This window comes from Homo sapiens, chromosome 9 (assembly GCF_000001405.40).
Source record: "Homo sapiens chromosome 9, GRCh38.p14 Primary Assembly".
NCBI lineage: Eukaryota > Metazoa > Chordata > Mammalia > Primates > Hominidae > Homo > Homo sapiens.
In genome coordinates, this window is record NC_000009.12 from 9,168,321 (window position 1) to 9,187,396 (window position 19,076).

General features: G+C 34.7%; 1 protein-coding gene across 38 annotated transcripts in view; it reads right to left on the reverse strand.

Moving 5' to 3' along the window:
- Nucleotides 1-19,076, reverse strand: part of PTPRD (protein tyrosine phosphatase receptor type D) — a 2,298,757-nt gene that overhangs the window by 854,075 nt on the left and 1,425,606 nt on the right. For all 38 annotated transcript variants that reach the window (NM_002839.4, XM_017014961.3, XM_006716827.5 and 35 more), the window contains one exon: nucleotides 14,984-15,043. The gene's annotated coding sequence lies outside the window, so the exon portion shown is untranslated. The remainder of the gene's footprint in view (nucleotides 1-14,983; nucleotides 15,044-19,076) is intronic.

Below are 19,076 nucleotides of genomic sequence, written 5' to 3' on the forward strand. Positions count from 1 at the left end.
ACTTTTTTAACATTTATTCATTTTTTTATCTTGCCTTTTTAACCTTGTTTCATTTTTATTGCCTTTTCCATATATTTTTAGCAATTTTAAATTTATTTTATTTTAGTATATTGCATGCATCTTCAAAGCTACCCTAATTTCTTTTTGAAATACAATGGCATAAAACTGAAATTAAAATATCCCATGGTGTTATATACATTTTGCAGGTTGTCTCAAAATGTCTTTTGTTTAAAATACAGTTGAATATAAAGAAATCAAACAAGTAAGCAGCGAAACTTATAGTTTAAAAAACGATTTTTTTGCACTGACTTGACTATTTATCTTGTTTTGAGACACCACCACATATTTGTTCTCTAACTTTGTAAGCTTTAGAAGCACTAGCTAATGTTTTTAATGAAAAAAAGCCAACAGACAAAAATAATAATAATTCTATTTTCAACTTCATGCTTTATTTTCTGAGAGGAAGAAAGCAGTTTATTTGTTACGGGTACATTTGAATAAGACCTTAAATCATTTATCTGTTAAAAGCATTAAGTACTGTCTTTTAGATTTTTTTAAAAAATATTTATTTATATATTTTTTTTGTAGTGAAGTAGAATGAAAATTAATGCTCTCCTGTCTCTGTATAATAAAAAATAATTTGGATATATACTTTTTATTTCATGAAATTTCATTTACCTAGAAAATATGCTTCTGTCATAGAAATAACCACTGGGTGCTACAAAACGTATATATAAATTTTTATCAGTGGAAATCAATTTGCATAAATTTATATTAGCCTTCTAATTGAACCTTCTCATCTTATCTAATACACTGTTTGCTTAATAAATCTTATAGAGCCTCTTTTTGGCTTTAACTTTTCTCATAAAAAACTTTTATGATATTTCTAAAGTTTTATTTCACTTTATATAATTCAAAAACCACCACAGGTAATATATATAAAGGTCATACTACAAAAATGTCTTGACTCCTAACCAATTCTATGCCACACTAAAGTTCCTATACTCAGTGTTTCTGATTCAATGCTAAGAGGACTTTTACATTTTCAAAGACCTTTTGATAATGAATAGACGGTAAGTATTTGGAAAGAAAATATAAATCCCAGGATTATATTTGAAGCACTTTTCTTCAGTTTGCAATGCTAAAGTTAGGAGATTAAATGAGAAAACCCCATACTAAATTTTCCAATTAAAAAATGAGGTAGGCCCTGGCTATAAAGAAAGTCTCTTTACATAGACTTCATTATGTTGCTGGTCAAATCATACCCCTTACATATATGGTGATACACATAGGCAGCTTTGTTACTCCTTCTTTCTGTTTTTGCCAAAGTTAAAAGAGATTCTTCTGTATTTTGCTTTCTTGTTGGAAAACAAAGATTTACTACCATGTTTAATACCCCTGGGCTGATTTTGGAAATTTCAGGTTAAACACATTCTAAAAAGGCATCTGTAGTCTAAGGACTCAGAGCATAGGTGTGCCCAATCCAAAGAAAACTAAAACAACATCAATAGCAGCAACAACAAAGGCACTAACTTCCTGGTTAGCCTAATGATGTTTCATTACAAATACTCAGCCAACAGTTTTAGGAAAAGTCCTGTCCTGTCCTGGAACTGCAAGATTTGATGGCTCTGCCATAAGGGATTAGAAGGGGTTGATATTTGTCATTTTGCAAGCACCACAGATCTTTGGTGTTTTTTCATTTGTATTTATTTTATTGTAGGATTAAACTAGACTAAGCCCATAAAGTTTTCCTGAAAATTAAACTTTTTTCAACTTAAAAGGTGGTGATTTAGCCAAACAATAAATATCGCAATCTGTGATTACAAAATTGGATCAAAGGATGTGAAAATAACACCAGAGGAGCAATTTTAGATCATTGTGTTTAGATTTCTCAGAAGAATCTGACACTAAGCTGAATTATTTTTCTGAAACCCATACCAAAAATGTTCATTAGAGTTCTTGTTCAAAATCACTGTGATGGGTAAGGTTCTTTGTCCTTCAAATTTTTACTTATGTTAGATTTCACTGTGGCATCACTGAATAGAAAAAAATAAAATAACAAAATAGATTGGGTGGTTTGATTTTAGGGAAAAAGTCCTTAAATGAATCTTTTGTTTTCCTGCTTTTGCTACCTCATTAATCCTAAATGGTGTCAGTCAGTTGAGTCTAATAGCTGCGAGTGTTACTACCTTGGTCAGTTCCAAATTATAGTATTGATTAATTGATTGTCTTCTTCCAGTTGTGAATTATATTAACGCTGGCCCAGGCAGTTTGGCTTGAGGCCAAAGGCTAATTTTCAATGGAAGGCAAGAAGCAGTTTCACTGTTTCTCTGCTGTGGTTAAGTGGATGCTCAGAAAACAGAAAGCTTTGAAAAGATGATTTGACAAAAAGGAATGCACTAAATATAATTAATATGTGCTTATTGATCCATCCAACCTAGAGAAACAAGTAGGAAGACAGTAAGTTGAGAATTCATCATTTGTCAGCCCCAGACTTCCAAAACAGTCTTAAAACAATTGACTGGAGAATGAGAGTAGGAGGGAAGCAAGATGGTCCAGAATGATAATGAGCCAGCCTCAGGATCTGTGGAATTAAGTCCAGATGCAAGTGTGGTGACTGTGGTGCTTTCAAACGAAGTGAAACTTGATGTGGGTTACAGGCTCCTCTACATCATAGGCCCAGCTGTCCAGGAAAGCTTAAGAAACACCTGCCACATTGTGGTACCACCAGGGCAGCAGTACCATGTTCTCAGAAAAATATAAACATTACAAATTGAAAGTCAAAACAAGAGGGGCTGCTTTCTCGTTAACTCTCTGCTTTAAGGAAGAACATAAAAGGGTTGAGTGTGCTTATCATTGATTCTTGTGGAACGGGAAAAGCTAAATGGGGCATTGAGAGGTTAATAACTTTCACAGATCTATAACTCTGAGTTTCTTTGTTGCCAGATCAATTCATTTTCCCTGTAAAATGTGAAGGGAAAACTGGTATGGGATGGAGTATTGCTAATTATAAGATTATATTATATATAAATATAATTAGATTATATTTATAATCATTATTGGTCTTTCTTTTCAATGTGGACAAAATTATGCTTGGTTTCACAGGGAAATAGGAAAAGGAGCTTTTCTTCTTCAAGTAAAGAGAAAGAGCATGAAAAAATGCGGGAAGTGATTGAAGGGGTCTTAAATTTGAAAGCATTGACATCAAATATATAGACGATTGTCATAAATGGAAAGTTTGGAGGAAACAATCATGAATACGTGGAAAGCAGTCACAAGGTCAAATATGTTGATAGGAATTAGAATTCTATGGGCGTATTTTCTATAAGAGAAGAGAGACTGCAGGTAGACATATTGATGAGGAAAAAACTACTCTTCTATAAGTGGCACTAGGTTTAATATTATTGATTATTTTATATATATATGAAAAATCCTTAGCAGAAGCAATTATGTAACAGCCTCTTGGCATGGATTCTATAATGAAAGTTCATAGAATAAATCTCCACAAAATATAAAGGTATATTAATTCTTCATTACTGTCTCAATGATCTGCAGCAAAAATAAGGTTAAAATTTGGAAAGACATAATCATTATTTAACAAATATTATGATAAGCTAGGCTGTTTATGATAGATGATAAGGATATTATAGAGGGAGGGCCAAAACAAGAAGCATGTCTTTAGGGTAATCTGTTGAGTAGTTAGTAATTCAGGTAACTCACAGTATAAATGGTATTACAAATCCAGTGTACCAGTGATTTGAATAAATTACTGCATATCTTAGTACACTAAGTATTCTCTAAGTGAGCTAGTTATAATCTTAGCTTCTTTTGGAAAAGATACAAATATAATTCATCCTAGTAAATTCTTCTGCACTCAGCACAGAGACCCTAACACAAAATGAGTGCTGCATGAATATTTGTCAAAAAAGGGAATGTATAAGAATATAGCCTTTGAATCAATTTCCTTTCAGTGGCAAAATGTACTTTCCCTAAAGAAACATAGTAATAAAGTCAACAATGACACAGTAGCAAAGTAAAATGTTTGGGATCCAAGCATGTATAAATATAACTATTTTTATCTCTTCTCTTCCTCCTCTCTTTACCTGAATAAATCTGATTAACCCTTTACTCACTTTCATTTTCTGGAGAAGTGATCCCTTGCCCGTTTGGACCTAGATTAAGCAGCATTATCTCGGGCTCTGTGTTTCCCATGTTTTGGAAATATTTGCACTCTCCTATAATTGTTTATTTAATTGGCTTATTCATGATAGATGTGCTATGTCTTCTTATTCTTCTGTATGTTCCCTAGGCACTGGCAAAGGGTTTGGCATATAGATGGCACTTGGTTTTTCTAGTCTGTGTCATTCTTGGCCCCTCTCCTCTATACCTCCCATCTGGTTGATTTGCACATCCAGGTAGCTCTAAGCAATGCCTATCTAGAATTTAACCATTTCTCTGACTCCCAAAGCCATCATCTTATCCAGTACTTGCCTGCATTATTCCAATAGCCTTTATCCTGCACCTGGCACTGTTTTTGCCCCATTTATTCAGTTCTAACTCAAGCCTAAATGATTCTCTTAAAATACAGATTCGATCGTGTCCAAAATATTCAGTGAAAGATCATCTTCTGTTCAGAATGTTCAATGAGAGATCACCTCACTCAGAATGAAAGCCAAAGTTCTTACCAGCAGCTAACATGGCCTTCGTTTATTTCCCAGTCATCTTTTCCTCCTGACTCTCCTCAGACTTTCACTCCAGACACGTGAGCCCTTCTGTTCCTTGCTTTAGGTAAGCTCCCTCCTTAGGGTCTTTGCACCTGCTCTTTCCTTATCTAGAATATTTTCCCCCTAATATCTACATGACTCACTCCTTACTTTCTTCAGAGTTTGACTCAAAAGTCACCTACTCAGTTCAAAATTTGAATATTCTCCTTACTCAATACTTTAATTTTATTTCCCTACTTTATCTTGTCCTAATAGTGCTGATTTCAAGTCTGGTATTCAGCAAGTAAAATGAACTTCCATTCTGTGTAGCTGGGTGTCTATTCGGATGGGTTGGTATCCATTTGTACTGGTTGGGTCATGGGTCACTTAACACTGGGGATACATTCTGATAAATGTGTTGTTAGCTGATTACATCATTGTGCAAACATCATAGAGTGTCCTTACAAAAACTTACTAATTATAGCCTACCAGTGTAGCTATATGGTATAGCCTACTACCCACCTAGGCTATATGGTATAGCTTATTACTCCTAGGCAACAAACCTGTACAGCATGCTGCTGTGTTGAATACTGTACACCATTGTAATACAATGGCATGTGTGTATCTAGACATATCTAAACATAGAAAAGGTAAAGTAAAAATATGCTAGTATGCTCTTACAGGACCACTGCTGTATATGCAGTCCATGGTTGACCATGGACCATTGTTACACAAAGCATGACTCTATTTTAAATCTCACCTCTGCTCGTCACTATCTAATATACCCGATACTTTGCCGGTTTCTCTTTACCATTGGCCTCCCCTACTCTAATGTGTTCTTGTTCAACACTGTATCCCAATATCTGCAGTGTCTGGCCCACTTTGGCTCCTACCGGCATGCTCTTATGTTAGCCTATGCACAATTTCACCTTAAAAAGAATTGCAAATGCCTCAGAGAATGAGAGATTCCATAGACATATATTTTCTAGGCAATTAAACCTCCATGATAATGAGGGAGTTAAGTATCTTTAAAAAATACTATGAGAAGTATATTGCATGAAAAAATAGTTTGAACTATAAAACAGAAATATATTTGTTTATACCATACAGCCCCCCCAAATAAAACATTACCAACAGGAAAAAAAATCGTTATATAGAATACTTATTTGCTTTCCTATTGTCTCCATGTAACAGATCATGAACTCCTTGAGGGCAGGTACCATTTTTTGTATCTTTGTCTCTCCATCATCTACAATAGTGACTGATTAATAAATATTCAATAAATAGATGAATGAAAAAAGGGACTTTGAACATATCCACAATTACCCATTTAAGAGACAGAAATCATCACAACTATGCTTTTATTTACTATGCTTACATACTTTTATTTTAATCAAGGTAAATCATTTATACATACTCCTATTGGCTCAAATATAACCTTATAAGTTATGTTATTCCAAATGTGTGCATTTATCTGCCTTAAGGGTTTTCAGGAGCATAATCCTTGTGATTGAGGTGAAGATAGTAGATATACATAAATGCTATCTCAGCATTACTGTGGTTTTAAATTGTGTAATATGTTCTCCTAAGTAAATTGTAAACAACTGTTGCCAACAAAGGATATTACATAAGAGATTTCATAATCTTATTTAATAACTATAGTGATTTCTAATATTTCAAAAAGTGATTGAAAAATGTAATTCTGCCTAGAAAAATTTAGGATCAGATTTAGAAGTAATTTTAAAAATTGTTATTATTTTTATAAATTTGGAACCATTTAATGTGCTAATGATTTTCTTTTTTTTAAGACCGTGAGATTTGCTTTGGACTGAATGTTGCTAGCTCACCCAAAATTCATAATCTGAAGCCTGATCACCAGTGTGATGGAATTATGAAGTGGGGCCATTGAAAGGTGATTAGGTCATGGGATGAAGCCCTCAGGAATGGGATTAATATCATTATAAAAGAGTACCCAGAAAACTGATTTCCCCTTTCCACTATATGACATAGCCAGAAGACCCCATCTATGAACCAGGAAATGATCCCTCACCAGACACCAAATTTGCCAGCACTTTGGTCTTAGACTTTCAGCCTCCAGAACTATAAAAAATAAATTGCTGTTTATATGCCACCCAGTCTAAGGTAATTTCTTATAGCAGCCAAAGTGAACTAAGACAAGATTTTTCTAAAACGTTGTCTTTCATGTTACCCTGTTCATCACAAGAACAATTAACCACTAAAATCTTTGTTAATAAATTATATAAGATCATACAGGGCATGTTTGTCAATCGTACAAAAGATAGTTTTAATAATTCTTGGCTGGGCACGGTGGCTCACGCTTGTAATCCCAGCACTTTGGGAGGCCAAGGCAGGTGGATCACGAGGTCAGGAGTTCGAGACCAGTCTGGCAAACACAGTAAAACCCCGTCTCTACTAAAAATACAAAAAAATTAGCTGAGCATGATGGTGGGTGCCTGTAATCCCAGCTACTCAGGAGGCTGAGGCAGGAGAATCGCTTGAACCTGGGAGATGGAGGTTACAGTGAGCCGAGATTGCGCTGCTGCACTCCAGCTTGGGCAACAGAGTGAGACTCTGTCTCAAAAAAAAAAAAAAAAAAAAAAAAAAAAGAGTTTTAACAATTCTTATAAGCTTAGGACTCAAAAATATACTATTTGTTTTGAGGAAGACTCTTCTTTGTGTGATCCGATTGTATTACTCCATATTTCTACCGGCCCAAGTACCTCTCCCCATGGTCAGCACAGCTCATGCTAGGTACCTCCAGGATCACATCATTGAGTATTTGGAAAATGGGTCATCGACTAGCAAAAACTCATATTATAAATGCGGAGCCATATGCAATGGGTATAACTTAATGCCCCAAATCTGTAGGCCTGAAAAAAGAAAGAAAGAAGCACAAAGTCTTTTATATATCACTCTTGAACTCAACTTCTAGGTAATCTTCTATAGCTGAGTCTGCAACTCCTTCCCTCAGAATAACAAATGTGCAGCTACCAAGCACCAAAATTTAATAATTCAGCAATCTCACATTGCTACTCTTATATTTCATCCTTCATCTTTCCACAGCCTATAAGTAGAAAAATAGTTGAAGAGCATGAGGCAGATAAACTTAAGGGCTTGATATGTAAGAAGGTTGTCAGCTTGCTGGTCTAATTGTTCTGGTTCTACACTCTGCCACCTATAATTGAATGTGATTGAATTAATTCAGCTTATTTATTTGGTCATTTATTTCTAGAAAGAGGTATCTAACTTTTCATGAACATAATCATTGATGATTTGACCATTAAGGTCACTCTCAGGAGGAGTTAGAAGTCAGTCTCTATCTATATAGTTCTATGCAGGCTGAAAAACCATTCACTTTCTCCTAATCTTCTTTTCTTAGGTGCTTTTCTTCCTTTTTGTCCATTTATTAGGTAATTTCCAACTTGATTACTAAACTAAGATGAGAGATATTTAAAAATAGACCCATGTTAATTGCTATGATTTCAATGTCTCCATTAAAACTCATGTTGAAACCTAATTGCTAATGTAATGGTGTTGGGAGTTGGGGCCTTAAAGAGGTGAGTAAGCCATGAGGCCTCTGCCCTCATGAATGAATTCATGCTGTTATAGTAGAAGTGGTTTAATTATCATGGGCATGGGTTCCTGATGAAAGAATAAGTTCTGTCCCCATTTACTCTTTCAGTCTCATGAAATCACTTCCACCTTCTTCCCTTCTGCCATGGGATGAGGCCCTTGCCAGGTGCTGGTGCCATGATCTTAGATTTCCCAGTCTCCAGAACCATGAGTCAAATAAACTTCCATTCTTTATAAATTACTCATGCGGGGGTATTGTGTTATAGCAGCACAAAACAGATAAAGACATTAATGGAATTCAGTTCTAGATGGTTAGATGGTCAAAATATGTCCTATGAGTATCTATCTATCTATCTTAGTAGTTTTTTCTGTCTGTATATCCTAATGCCCACTTGTATTAATTCATTTTCATACTGCTATAAAGAACTGCCCAAGACTGGGTAATTTATAAAGAAAAGAGGTTTAATTGACTCACAGTTTAGCATGGTTGGGGAGGTCTCAGGAAACTTACAATCATGGTGGAAGGTGAAGGGGAAGCAAGGTGCTTTCTTCCCAAGGCAGCAGGAAGGAGAAGTGCCTAGTGAAGGGAAAACAGCCCCTTATAAAACCATCAGATCTCATGAGAACTCACTCTGAAAAGAAAACAGCATGGGGGAAACTGCCCCCATGATTCAATTACCTCCACCTGGCCTCTCCCTTGACATGTGGGGATTATGGGGATTATGGGGATTGCAATTCCAGATGAGATTTGGGTGGGGATATAAAACCTAACCATATCACGACCCTAATTGTTTTTTAGCTTCTATTTTTAGAAGTGAACTGATAAGTACTGACTAAAACTAGTGTGAAAAATTTATACTTTATACTCATTAATATATTGCATAATTAGAAAATATATTAGAGCATAACTATCTTAAAATTTGTTTTTTGTCATTATGAACTCAAATTAAACTTAATTTTAAAATGATTATGTCTAATGCTTGATTAATTCAAACAATCCAAACTGATGATCTTTTAAAAATAATTATGGTGAGCAAAAAAAATTCCGGTAAGCAAATTGTTAATGCTTAATCCTATCAATCTTGACTTGAAAATGATGGATGTAAACAAATCAATTTAAAAATCAGCTTAAGAGGCCGCTATTTATAGTAGTCCCTATAAAAATGGCTTTGTACTTTAGTTGTTTTATAAAGGCATCTTAAAACATATAAAAGACTGAGTTAATTTTAAAAGCTAAAAGTATAGTGGCCAAATGAAGAGATGCACATGCCTATGATGGTATCCAGACACTATTTGATACATGGTATTTAATTGTAGGCATCAATTTGAAACATGAAATATTTTATCGATGTGCTGGGAAAGAGAGATCAGATGATGAAATATCTGGAACCCATCTCATAATAGGAATGGTGAAGGAACTACAGATATTTTGCATAGGAAATAGAAGACTAAGGATAAAAAAGGCAGGTAGCTTTTGTATCAATATAAGGAAGACTTTTCTTGTAAATACAGCTACTCAATAATGAAAGTGAGGTTTATGCTTAGTTTAATCAGAGTGTGGCTGACTGTGTGTGTGTGTGTCTCAGGAAAGTAGCCTACAAAGAGATTGAACTGTGACCTCCCTTAGTCTTTCTGCCTTAATTGCCTTGGTTTTCCTGCCTGCCTGCCTTTTTCTTTCCTCCTCTCCTCCCCTTCTCTTTCTTCCTTTCTTTCTTTTCTTTTCTCTCTCTTTTTCCTCACTTCCTCCTTCCTTCTTTCCTTTTTTCTTTCCTTCTTTCTATCAAAGGGTGATGTGGTTTTAAACACAGAATAAAAATGATTTGAATCACAGATATACTACCAAATATCTTTTATTATCTTGGGCAGGACATTTGCCTTCTCTGGGTTTAAATTTGTCATGTACAAATCATGGCCTGGGGTCTTTACAGCCTATTTTAGTTCTAATATTCTCTGACCATGTAAGTGTAGACATATTGACAAACTCTAAGTCTAGTTATGAAGAGTCATTACAACTATAGGCTTTTAGAGCTGAAAAGCATTTAGTCAACCTCCATACAAGTCATTACATTTTACATATTGTTGTTTCTACATTGAATTGCTAGTAAATCATTTCAATAAGTCCTTCTTTAAATGCTGTATATATAGTATAAAGGTTTTTTACTACCCTTGAATGAACAAATGTGACTCTCTCAAGCAGAAATGCTCTGGGAACATCCTGCTGAGCTTTCTTCTTCTGGCCATACAGTCTACATACACAATTAACCTTCCCTTAATTAGATTAACTTGTTCTTTACCTGGGACTGTCAAATTAATACTGTAATCAAAGATCTCTTTTAGAGACCTGAATATGTTCCTGCTACGTGTAATGCTAATTACTTCTTTACTAAAAGTAACTAAAAACAGGCTCACTTAATGGTATGCCTTAGTTAGAAGATCTGGTTTATGTCTCCAAACTAGTGCTACTCAGAACTTCACAAACAATTCTTAAAATCAACTAAAGAAACCTTAGTATTTCTGATTTTCTTAATTGTTGAAACTCAAAGATTTAATAAAATTCCAGACTAGACCTACTTACATGAAAATATTTATAAGCATTGGCACTGGTTCTTATATTAAAACATGATACTGCATAGCATTTAATCAAATGTTATTTATAACAAATTAAATTGCCCTTTCCAAAATAAGCAAAGCATTTGGCTATAGAACCCACAGTATTGTTATGTTCACCCCACATATTTCCAAATGCAGACATTTTAACAGTTTCTGGCTATCATTAGCTTGATCCAATTATGAAAAGTGACACTGATGATTACATGACAAAGAAAGCTCACTTAACCAAATTGACTAAACTTGGTCAATGTCCCCAAGGCAAAATGCTACGAACCACTAGCTGAAGACTAGGATATTAAGCATCAACAGTATTTTAAATACCCTCTAACATTCTCAATCAGCCATTGATTAAGCATCTATGGTTTCAATGTTTAGACATTGTGGGAAATGTGAAGATGAGCAAAAAGACATACACCCTCCTTTTAAAAAGTTTACAGTCATAGACACTTAAGGAGGAACTGGCAGGATAATGGAAACCTGATTCTTTTGCCATCTAGTTAGATGGTTTTGATTCTGTCAATCAGGAACCACCTTGAAATAAAATAATGAATGAGGTCTCTGAAGTTTCACCTGGGTTTGAATTCTTGTGTGATGTAGCAAGATATTTCATTTCTCTAGTTCTCAGGTCCCTCATCCTAACATGGAGATAAAGTACAGACCTCAGGTTTTCTGTGAGGAGTAAATGTCATATATGTACAATATGTTTTGCACATAATATACATATCAAAAATAAATGTTAAAATATTTAAGGGATGAAGGATACATTAAACAAGAAAGCTCTTTTTTATTGGCAAGAGTGAAAAGTTAAGTATTTTGTGTTACATAAGTACCGATTGCGCCACTGGATGACCCAGCCATCCCATTACTGGATATATACCCAAAGGATTAAAAATCATGCTGCTATGAAGACACATGCACACGTATGTTTATTGCGGCACTATTCACAATAGCAAAGACTTGGAACCAACCCAAATGTCCAACAATGATAGACTGGATTAAGAAAATGTGGCACGTATACACCATGGAATACTATGCAGCCACAAAAAATGATGAGTTCATGTCTTTTGCAGGGACATGGATGAAACTGGAAACCATCATTCTCAGCAAACTATCGCAAGGACAAAAAACCAAATACCGCATATTCTCACTCGTAGGTGGGAACTGAACAATGAGAACACATGGACACAGGAAGGGGAACATCACACAGTGGGGCCTGTTGTGGGGTGGGGGGAGGGCGGAGGGATAGCATTAGGAGATATACCTAATGCTAAATGATGAGTTAATGGGTGCAGCACACCAACATGGCACATGTATACATATGTAACAAACCTGCACGTTGTGCACATGTACTCTAAAACTTAAAGTATAATAGTAATAAAATTAAAAAATATATATTTTGTGTTAGATGGCTACATTCAGGACTGATGTATAACACTCACATACTACAAAAGGAAAGAATTTCTTCTTTCTTTCAGGCAATGCCCTGAAACAACTAGCTCACTAGCTGGTGATCTTAAATAATTGGAGGAAAAGACAATTTAGGAAATACTGATGAAATCTAATACCCTAAATAAAGTGTATTGAGCTTCACCCAAGTGTCTGACAACATGTCTTACAATATTTTTGTACACATCATGTCTTAAAAATTTTTGTAGACAATATGGAGAAGTTGGAACTGAAAAGAGCCAGGTAGATTTCTTAAGTGGCAAAAATCATAAAAAAGACATTGGAATATGTAAATATTAATTTGTAAAGCACTTTTGGACTTGGCTCAGAGTTCCGTCTTCGGTAGAGTAAAAATACCAAAGAATTTGAAAGTCAGAAAGGTTTAGGTTGGAGTTCTTGCTCTAACTCTTTAGCTGTGAGAGACCTTTGCCTCCTTGGCCATCAGTTTCTTTTGTAATGGGATCATATGAAGATAACATAGAAAGCCATTCCTTTTCTGCTTGGCACATACTAAGGGCTCAACAAATGATTTCAATAATAATCATTGTTATTTTTACCTTAATTTCATTTTTGTAATGAGGTGCAGCTGATTATGGTATCTTGTTTTCGTTTTTATTCACTTTGAAAATACAGTTAGAAAAAAAGCCTTTTCTCTAGGTAGGTAGTTATGTTTTTTTCTGACTGTGTGCTATGATTCAAGCAACTATCCTGTTTTGAGAAGGTGAACTGCTAAAATATGCTGCCTGTTTCCATTTTCAAACCTGCCTGTGTGTGAGCAGACAGGTTCCTGATGCTCTAAATTTTAATAAAAATAACAATAATAACATCTACAAACAAATTTATGTACCTCCTACTGTGTCAAATAGTATTCACCAAAGCAGCTTTCATATATGAACTCATTTAATCTTCACTACAGCCACCAGAAATATAATTATTATCTTTATTTAACAAATGAGAAATCTCAGGCACAAATTTGCACAGTTTACTTAATATCAAATGGCTAATAAGTAGAAGACAATCCAGGCAAATGTAAGTCTAGAATCTATGAAATTTGCTCCTTATAATAGAATTGGTCTGTCTTGAAGAAACAATGTCATTAATGGAGGCATATTTGAAATATTTCTATTAGCACTAGATCAGACAGAAATAGAACTAAAAAGAAAATAGGAACATCACTTGTATGATTAGTTCTACAGAAATAAGTACTTTGGACTCCCAAACAAGTGGCTTTTAAATGAACACTGGAAGATAATGTGCTTGGAAAATGGAAACTGATTCTATACAAATTGCTGAAACATAAAGCAGAATGAGTAGTATTTTAAGAGAGTCAAGAATGAAGACACAGAGGAATTCAAAAGAATAACACATCAATTTGACTGGGGGTATCCAAGAAAGCTTTTTGGGGAAGGTAAGCTGAATCTTAACATATAAAATTGAACAATGATGAACCCCCATGGAAACAGGCTGAAAGCCTGAAATAAATTTACTACAATCTTCGTTATCTCTTATTTGTTTGTTGAGTTATCATCTTATTTGACTTCAGTGGTACTGTGATTTCTGAAGGACCTTTGTGTACCTTCTCCATATGCAGATATTTCCATTTTCTTAGAGTCATAAGATACATCAACCCCAAAATAAGATCAACAGGGGATAGGGACGGTGATATTCTTTTCTTTAAACTGAGGATGCAAAATTTTAGCAGATAAGAGATTTGAGCATGCTAACGAACTTTTAAACCTCACAGACTTTATTTAGAAAGTTTGTATTTAGAAACATTGATTTTAAAACATTTAAGTTTATCTTATTCATCACAAGTTTATTACGAGATAATAGTCTCTGAATAACAAGCCAACAGATCAAATATCTCAGAGAAAGAATATGGGAATTGTTTATTTCAAAGAATTATCTTTGTAGGATTAGAAACACACTATTAAACTGCAATGGGTGAGGAAAAAATGTCCTTGGCAGAGGATTTTAAACAAAAAGTATTATTATGGTAGATGAAATGTTTATATTAGAAAAGGGATATGTAATGAAACAAAGCTGTGTTAATAGCAAAAATTTTGTCACAAAGTAGTGAGAACTGAATGCATTAAATCATAACCTGTTATTGTTTAACAAAGATTAGACTTTAAAAAATTCGCTAATCTACTCACTAATCTGTTTTCTCACTTTATTCCCTCATTAACAATAAATAGCTTTGTAGCTTCCAAAAGAGCCAAAATAAAGTATGTAGGCGAGACCACCACCGAGGGCTAATAATTTCATAGCAGCAGCAGCTAAATTCAATCAACATTTAAATCTATAAGCATCTGCTGCTTCAATTCAGAAATTTAACCGATTGTTAGATTTCCCCCCACGTTCAGGCCTAACATCATATATAATTCAGAACTGAAAAATAAATCTCTCATTGACAGATTTCTTAGTTATTCTATTGTCATTAATACATTATAAAGGAAAATCTATAGTAAAGAATAACTCAATATTAGGTAAACAGAGTAAAATGTTTGAGTATTTTATCCATCCATCCATCCTAACCAATATTCGTTGAGTTGAACTATACATCAGTTACTGTATTAAGTATTAGGACCCAGAGAAGGGAAAGGGTTAAAATGTGGTTGTGGACTCACCTTGAGTTAGCCACCGTCGGTGTTTTCAGACACAGTCCCTGGCCTCAAGAAGTTCAAAACCTAATTATAAAGATAGAAAGTAACAATTATTTAAAAAATATTTTAATCCCTACATTGTCTTTAAGATAAATGCTGTCACCCCATTTTTTAGTGGGGATTGAGGCAGAGATGAGAAAAAGTAAGCTAGTTAATGAGAAACTAGTATCAATTTTATGAAATACAATCTTTAATTGAAGTAGTGAAATGCCAAAAACCAACATGGAAATCACTATTGTTCACAGGCTATAAAGCAGAATATTGACTATTCTTTAAAATGTTGAATTGAAACTAACATGTCCACCATAAAATGGCTAAATTGCCTTCTTACAACATCAGTTTCATTAAGTCCAGTAAACATCTTGGTTTGTTGCATCCTACAATTACATAATACATTTCAGAATATCCATCCTTTGGCCTTTAAATAAATAATGCCCCTAAGTTGTTAAGGGGAGCACTTAAACCTTGGCAGCCAAGCTAAAGCAAATCCTTGTCTATCCTACTCGTTCTGGGACGAATTAGCATGGAAAATTCCATCTTATAAGCATTACATTTATGTTTAAGAATTTCATAATTAATTTAAAAAGATCCACACCTCTGAAACATATAAAAAGGCACAATGTCTTAATTTCTCAACAGAATAATTTGTACAAGATTTGAAGTCTACCTTAATGATTCATTTTTGTATTGTTTTCACAATTGCTTTATTTTGTTTAGCACATTTTTTTCTCAACTCTTTTTAACATATTAAACTCTTATTCCTCCTTCAATTCCCAGCAAAGTTGTCATCTCATGGGGAGAGACTTTTTGACACCCTGCTCCCTCTAAGTTTTAGTTAGATGAATCTCCTAGATGCTCCAACAAGCTCTGCATCTTTCCCTATCACACGTTATCACATCACCCTGTGTCGGAGAAAATGGCTAACTGTTCACCAAAACATTTCCCTTTTCCTTCTGTTACATAGCCAGACTACATTTTGTAGTTAGATGTGACTACATTCCTCACCATGGAACACAGTCTTAAGAACATCTTGCATATGATCCTCATTCTATGTTTCTTACCTATAGGTTAAATCCCTAAGGACCTAAAGGAGGAAAGGTCCCAAAGACAAAAAGAACATGATTCTCCAGCCACAGCTTTCAGGATCACCCCTCACTTCCACTAATAAGGTCTATTCACAGTACAGTGTTACATAGATGAGCATTCGTCACCTCACCCTGACTAGGACATCTATTGGCACTGCGTTTTATGTAAATGAGAATTAAATTTCTCTTCTTTAAGCCATTAAAAGGGTGGGTGTTTATTATAGCACTTAGCCTGTTTGGTTTATTAGATTTCCCACATTAGATTGTAAACTATGGTACCCCGTGGATACAGCAACTAGTTTTGTCTTGTTTGAGGTTTTAGCTGAGCGCTTGACACAGAAAATAGCATATACTTACCATCCCTCTCTCTGTTTTTTAAAATAACTTAAATCTTATGTGATAAGATGTATCATGAAAATTTCATAGGAACTATTATTCTAAATAGTTATTCCTTCAGGAATAGGGAACATAAGGCTTCATTTAGCACGGGTTCCAAAATATCCTTTGGTAAATACCTAAAGGTAAAATTTGATTTTGTTTAAGAGCTCACAGCAAGTGGAACACATCAAAATATGCTTGCAAAACTGTTCTTATAGGCCTCTATTTGTGGGTTTTAGGTAAGACGCTGAGAGCATTGCACAACCTTAGTCAGAAGTAATGGGCTTGGAAGCTCCTTGCTGTAGTCGTGGTGATTTGGAATGTCCTTTGACCCTCTACTGGATTTAATGCCAATGGAGAGAAAATGAAAGGTAATTTTCTTTCCTTTTCAAAACAATAACCAATCACAGAATCCAAGACCTTCTGCTCTTCACATATTACAATGAAACAGCTTTTGAAGTCTAGACAAAAATAGAGACATCTGACAAGCAATATCAAATCTCAGTCAGCATGCCTCCATGTATTCATTACTGACACTTCTCTCCCTTTCCCCTAGAGTCAAACACACTCTATTCAATGATTCCTTTTAGGCAACCAACCACCTGTTTGGGGCCACTTCCTAAGGGTCTCTCCAAAAGTCTCACCCATCTGTCTCTCTTTACTATTGTCCACTTGCTGGTTAAGTTTAGTCTTGCTTGGCAGAAGTCAACTTTCCGAGATTTACCTCCTTTACTTTCAGCCCTACTTAAGCAACGGACTTTAGAGGAGATGATCAGATCTCCTGGCTTCCTTTCTGAGGAATGAAGAGGAAACTTTTGCTGCTAGACATGCAACTGCCTTTTGATCTGAAGTAGAAAATCCTCAGGCTCTATTCCATTACTCATTTAGATGATTGCTGAATGGCACCTTCAGGCTAGATTTTATGGTTGCTTTAATAAATTTGTAGTTCACTCACATTAATGTCTATATATTAATAAAGCATTTCTCTAGTGTCAGGCAAACATGCGTTGGATTTACTAGTTAAAGACACCTCTTACAGGTTTTCATAGACATTTTAGATAATTTTTTTTCTTTTTTTTTTTGCCTCTCAGACCACCACACAAGTGCCTTTCTTTTCAGAGTACAAATATCAGTCTAGTTATCTGTCGATCTGGTAGAGGAGACAACAAAAACTATTTAACATCAGTGAGAAATAGAAAAAAATGTAATCCTTTCTAAGCCATGCATAATGTCTAGGTCAACTAAGTTTTCTCCACTGTGATTAAAAATGGCAAATTATTAAGAAGTCCCATTTTATTTTCTGGAGATTGAGAAAAAATAGATGATAAATTCTCATGAACAGAAGAAAATGGATTTTCAGCAAGTAATTTGGCTCAAGAAGGCAGACCCTAGTGCATGGAACATGCTCAATCTGGGGGAGAGAAAGAAATGAACAAGGAGGAAATAACAATAAGGGTTCTTTCATTTCCCAGCTGTCTGCCAAAATTTGGACTGGTTGTTATGGCTGAGGAAACTGTAAGAGCTGAAGTTCATAACTTTAAAGCGAAGATCTGTCCATGGTGGGGCACAATCTGACCAGATACAGTTTCTAGTATTTGTATATGTTCATGAAGCCTGGGCAACATCATAAGATCCCATTTCTACAAAAAATACAGAAAGCTAGCTGGGCATTGTGGCATGCACTTGTAGTCCCAGCTAGTCAGGAGGCTAAGGTGGGAAGATCGATTGAGCTCCAGAGGTCGAGGGTGTAGTGAGCTGTAATGGTACCACCGCACTCCAACCTGGACAACAAAACAAGACTCTGTCTCTCTCTCTCTCTCTGTCTCTCCCTCTCTCTCTCTCTCTCTCTCTCTCTCTCTCTCTCACACACACACACACAAACACACGTATCCTAATACATATGTGTGTATGCATGGGAAGTTTTGAAGGCTCCAATTCACTTTGGTCATAACCCAGTTTTCCACCTTCACAGAAATAACAAACATTTCAGAAATAGCCTTTCATTTAGTGTGTTTTGCATTAAAAGAGCATAATCTTCTATTTTCTAACTGGAATTATCTAGATGATGTTTATATTCTTACACATAAAAATATTTAGATTTGCTTAGAATAATTTTTTTATATTTACTATATGGTATCCCTTCTGTTATAAACTGAAATTTCCAAATTTTAATATGACTCTTGAGTATTATATAAAATATAATAATTAAAACATTTCACACCTGAAAAAGGTATTTCAACAGAAACACTGAAATTTATTTTACATAATATATTGCAATGATTTTCACTCTAAATTAGAAAAAAGTTTACTTCCTATCAATTTTATTTCTGCTGTTAACCCTATTCTAAATCATCCCTCAAAATTCTGATTATCAAAATAACATGTAATTTTAAAACAGATTCTCATTAGTGCAAGCAACTGTGACTTTTTAAAGTAGCTTAAAATTACATATTAAAGAGATTTCATTAGGAAGCTTTCATTCTCTTTCATTTAGAATTGTTTGCACATACTTCTCATTAGTCATTGTACTCAGATTTTCAGATTCAAGTATAAGGATAGTCCTTTGCATTACCTTAAACACCAGGTAAGTAAAA